The 5637-nt window shown below is 44.6% G+C and overlaps 1 annotated feature.

The window, feature by feature from the left end:
* Positions 4308-4863: an enhancer, noted in NCBI's record as "NANOG hESC enhancer chr4:153649784-153650339 (GRCh37/hg19 assembly coordinates)". NCBI's record gives its function as "activates a minimal SCP1, AML or CMV promoter by ChIP-STARR-seq in naive H9 embryonic stem cells {active_cell/tissue: H9 hESC(naive)}" and the evidence as "EXISTENCE:reporter gene assay evidence [ECO:0000049][PMID:30033119]".

Raw genomic sequence — 5637 nt, forward strand, 5'->3', positions numbered from 1 at the left:
AGGCTGGAGTGAAGTGGCATGATCACAGCTCACTGTAGCCTTGACCTCCTGGGATCAAGTGATCCTCCCACCTCAGCCTCCTGAGTAGCTGGTACTATAGGCACATGTCACCATGCCCGGCTAATTTTTATATTTTTTGTAGAGATGGGATTTCACCATGTTTCCCAGGCTGAAAATGCTCTTTAAATCCTAAGAAAAAAACAATAGTTTTATAAGTTCTCTGCTGTCCTTTTCTTCAAAATATTTACCATGAGAGTCTGGTCAAGGACTCTATGGATGATTTCAATTGTTGATTATAACCAATTAAATCCAATTTTTTTCAACATTTATCAAAATATTCTAGCAGGTTAAGAACAAAGACTTTGACATCGTTTCGCAATAGGAAAAAAGTAGAAAGATCTCCCTCCACTTTTTAAAAAATATCTTTACTTAAATTCAAACGGGAAGAAGAAAATATCTTAGATTTTTAAGGCAGTTTCTCTGCTCTGACGCCACTGGGTAGGAACTGAGCCTCCCACTGCTTGCCCCAGTTGGCCCTGCCATAGGAGGCCCCGGGCAGTTTAAGCAAAAGTAAAAATAATTTCCTTTCTCAGGGAGAGGTAAAGTCTTCTTGATCAATTCTGTTTCCCCTAAATAATCTCCAGAGTTTTATCTAATTATCTAAGCTGTAAATAGGTCGTTTTCAGTTGCATGTTAGTCCATTCTTGGGTTGCTATAAAGGAATTTCTGAGGCTGGCTAATTTATAAAGAAAAGAGGTTTAATTGGCTCACGGTTCTGCAGGCTGTACAAGCATGGTGCTGGCATCTGCTTGGCTTCTGGGGAGGCCTCAGGAAGCTTTCATCATGGTGGAAGGCAAAGGGGGGAGCCAGCATGTCATATGGCGAAAGCGAAAGCAAGGGTAGGGGAGGTTCCAGGCTCTTTTAAACAACCAGATCTTTTGTGAACTAGAGCGAGAACTCACTCATCACTAAGGGGATGGCACTAAACCATTCCATTCATGAGGGATCTACCACCATGATCCAAATACCTCCCACCAGGCCCCACCTCCAACACTGAGGGTTACATTTCACCATGAGATTTGGAGAGGACAAATATCCAACCTATATCAAGTTGTAAATAACTTTTATATAAACTGCTAAATAATATGTCATTGTTATAGTCTGTATGTCTAACGGAATGCTTTCTTCTTCTTTTTTTTTTTTTTTTTTTTTTTTTGAGACAGAGTTTTGCTGTTGTTGCCCAAGCTTAGTGCAATGGTGCAATCTTGGCTCATTGCAATCTTCGCCTCCTAGGTTCAAGCAATTCTCCTGCCTCAGCCTCCAGAATAGCTGGGATTACAGGCGCACGCCACCACACCCGGCCTTTTTTTTTTTTTTTTTTGTATTTTTAGTAGAAACGGGGTTTCACCATGTTAGCCAGGCTGGTCTTGAACTCCTGACTTCAGGTGATCCACCCACCTTGGCTTCCCAAAGTACTGGGATTACAGGCGTGAGCCACCACATCTGGCTGAAAATGCTTTCATATCCCTTACTTCAGTGGTTCTGAACCAGGGTGATTTTGTCCCCCAGGGTAGGCTTGGCAATATCTGGAGACATTTTTTAATAGCCATGACTAGATGTGAGGTGGAGAAGTATTGGGGGTGGTGCTACTGGCCTCTAGCAGATAAAGGCCAGGGCCGAGGATGCTGCTAAACCTCCAACCATGCATGGGACAACCCCCATGACAAGAATTTATCCATCCCAAAGTGTCAATAATATAGAGATTGAGAAACCCTGCTTTATCTGATTTTGTTAAAAAGAAAATGATTCCCAGATGCCTCTTGAGAGCCATCTTGGGTGAGGAAAGGGGAACATAAAATACATAAAATCAAATTGAGTACTTTAGGCTTTGCTTATTAATACCTGTAATGCTCACCACAACCATGTGTTTTAGGTATTTTCTCCATTTGCACAAGTAAAGAAACAGGCTCCCTGAACTTAAATCACTTGTCTGGGTCACAGAGTATTGGAAGCATATTAAGCATGGGTCAGTTTGACCCTAAAGTCTATGCCCTGTCCATAATCTGTGCTGTAAGCAGTAAAAGTTCAGCTAGGGTGTCATAGAATGGACTCGCCCAAATAGGAGTCCCAGTCTTCACTAAGTCCTCTCATGCCAGGGACAGAGACCTAGGGTCTTATACAACACCCCATCTAGCCTAACTCTTTGTTGCTAAGTGGCATACAAAAGAACTATGAGATTGCTCTGAGGGAGAAGAAATGAATTGAGAAAAAAAGTGAAACTGTATGAAACTATTAAAAATAACAAAGTATATTGTGGCGCAGTATGTTGGCATTGGAATAATAGCACAATATATTGGTAAGTGTTGAATTGCGTGGCATGGACAGTGAGTGCTGCTGTGTGAGTTTGGGAGGGAACCCTTCAGTGTGCACTAGAGTAGACTGGACAGTTCCATGGAGGGAGTAAGAATTGGGCTCTCAGCGAGCATAGCATTTGAAGGCAGAGTTAAGTTCAGGAGGCTAAAGCTATACACACACACACACACACACACACATATATATATATATATTTGAGATGGAGTTTCACTTCTGTTGCCCAGGCTGGAGTGCAGTGGTGCAATCTCGGCTCACTATAACCTCTGCCTCCCGGGTTCAAGCGATTCTCCTGACTCAGCCTCCTGAGTAGGGGGGATGCGCCACCACACCTGGCGAATTTTTTTTTGTATTTTTAATAGAGACGGGGTATCTCCATGTTGGTCAGGCTGGTCTCGAACTCCTGACTTCAGGTGATCCGCTGGCCTCAGCCTCCCAAAGTGCTAGGATTACAGGCGTGAGCCACCAAGCCCGGCCTAAAGCAATATATTATTGCGATGAGTATGAGTATATTATTGTGATCTCTTGAATCAGATTCCCTAGGTTTAAATCTTTTTCTTTTTTCCCAAACAGTGTCTCACTCTGTTACCCAAGCTGGAGTGTAATAGTGTGATCACAGCTCACTGCAGCCTCAACTTCCCAGGCTCGAGTGATCCTCCTGCCTCAGTCTCCTAAGTAGCTTGGACTACAGGCCTGTGCCACCATGTCTGGCTGGGTTTTTTTATTTGCTTTATAGAGACAGGGTCTCCCTGTGTTTCCCTAGCTAATGTCAAAATCCTGGGCGCAAGTGATCCTCCCACCTCCACCTCCCAAAGGGCTGAGATTACAGGTGGGAGCTGCTGTGCCTCTCTTCCCTAGGTTTAAATCCTATTTCTGGCACTTAGCAAGCCATGTGACTTTTGGCAAAGCAATGAACCCTTTTGCATTTGTTTTGTCACCTGCAGAATGCAGATAATAGTACATTTTACACTGGGTTGCTATGAGAATTAAATAAGATAATGCATGTAAAGCCTTAGCATGGTGGTGTTTGCCCTATAGTAAATGCTCATTGAATGTCAGCTTAAAAAGACAGGAGGGGTGTGTGTGTGTGTAAAAGTTCTTATTTGAAAGCAACAAAAATTTAGTTAGTTTAAGGGGAAAATTATTAGAAGGCTACAAGGGAGCTCATAGAATTGACAGAAGGCAGGATAACCTAGATCAAGAAACCAAGGAGGAACCAAGGGCAGCTGGGTGGAAGAAACGGCAGCCACATCATGTGGTGACAAGCAGGGTCCCATCTCCCATGGAGACCACACAATGGGGAAGTCCCTGAAGTAGGAGAGGATTAAGATATTGGGTAGCTCCTAGATTAGCAAATAGCTACTAAGGTAGATATTATGTTTGGGGGAATAAGAGTAGATTCTAGGGTTTGATGGTGAGGGATAGGAGGAGGAAACCATGAGGGGGTGCAGGGTCTGGGGGTGCAGATGGAGCCCTGACAGTGCCAAGGACAGCAAGGAAACGGAAAAGTGGCTGTAGTGGAAGGCAACACTTCTAAGTCTTCCCACTGAGGCAGCTTAACCGCAGGTAGAGGAGAAGGAACTCATGCCCTTGAGGGACCCGAAGGAGCAGCCCAGAGGGACCTGAGGAGAAGGAATTAATGACTTGGAAAGACCAAAGGAGCAGCCCAGAGGGACCTGAGAAGAAGGAACTCATGCCCTTGAGGGACCTGAAGGAGCAGCCCAGAGGGACCTGAGGAGAGGGAACTCATGCCCTTTAGGGACCTGAAGGAGCAGCCCAGAGGGACCTGAGGAGAGGGAACTTATGCCTCTGAGGGACCCAACAGAGCAGCCCAGAGGGACCTGAGGAAAAGGAACTCATGCTTCTGAGGGACCTGAAGGAGCAGCCCAGAGGGACCTGAGAAGGAACTCATGCCTCTGAGGGACCGGAAGGAGCAGCCCAGAGGGACCTGCCACAAATTCAAAATTTCTTTGAAATGCCCTATTTAGTCTTAAAAGTGCTTGTGAATTTGATACTCTTCTTCATAACAGATGTTTGTTTTGATATACAATGTAATTGGAGTTACATATTAAATTCTTTAATATTTTCCCCTCAAGTCTTCAAGTATAACAGATGCTGCAGGAAAATATACTTTATTCACGTGACTTCGCGTATCTCCACCCAAATTGGCCTTGTACTCTGCAGGGGCATATGCAAACTATCAAGCATCCATTCAACAAACATCGACTAAGCTCCTACTGTGAGCTAGAGGCTAGGTATACAGAAGCAAGTCCTAACCAATGTGGTGCCTTCCCTCACCAAACGATGGTCTATTCTGCACTCCAGTCTAAGGAGCATAAATCCTAGAAAACTGTGAGCAAATGTGATTGAAGAAATATGGTTGGGGCAGATCATAGAGTCAGTCTCAGCTCAAGAAATACTAGGTCTTGGCTGGGCACAGTGGCTCACACCTGTAATTCTAGCACTTTGTGGGGCCAAGGCAGGTAGATCACTTGAGGTTAGGAGTTTGAGACCAGCCTGGCCAACATGGTGAAACCCCATCTCTACTAAAAATATAAAAATTAGCCGGCTGTGTTGGTGGGCACCTGAATCACAGATACTACTCGGGAGGCTGAGGCAGGAGAATCGCTGAAATCGCTTGAACTTAGGAGGCGGAGGTTGTGGTGAACCAAGGTTGCGCCACTGCACTCCAGCCTGGGCAACAGAGCCAGACTCTGTCTCAAAAAAAAAAAAAAAAAAAAAAAAGAAGAGAAAAGAAATACTAGGTCTTGAAAAAAGACTTTACACCAAGTATGAGAGGCAGATAGGAAAAGGAAAAAAATCAGACTCAGAAAGTGGGCAAAAAATACATAACACATATGATACTTGTGATGTGGCACCTAACAGACACAGGCATAAGGGACAGCACAAAGGAGGCAGGAATGAGTTCTGCAGGGGAGGATGTGCTTGCTGAAAGAAGGTTTTAAGAGATGACTAGGAGCTGATGAGGCAGACAAGGAGGGCAGGGCATTCTTGGCAGAGAAAGATGCAGTGTTGTGAAAGGGCATGGCGTGTTGGGATGTCTTAAGTGTAAGGAAGGAATGAAGAGAAGAATGGAGAGATGAGCAGGGGCCGGGTTGTGGAAGGCTTTGTCTGCCTGCCATGTGAGTGCTGGGACTTTCACCTAAAAGCAGTGGGGAGTCACTGAAAGGCTTTTTGATAGGGATGTCAAAGGATCAAATTTGTTTTCAAGAAATGTAAGTCAGGAAGCAGTGGGTGTGTCTAAAC

This window comes from Homo sapiens, chromosome 4, assembly GCF_000001405.40.
Source record: "Homo sapiens chromosome 4, GRCh38.p14 Primary Assembly".
NCBI lineage: Eukaryota > Metazoa > Chordata > Mammalia > Primates > Hominidae > Homo > Homo sapiens.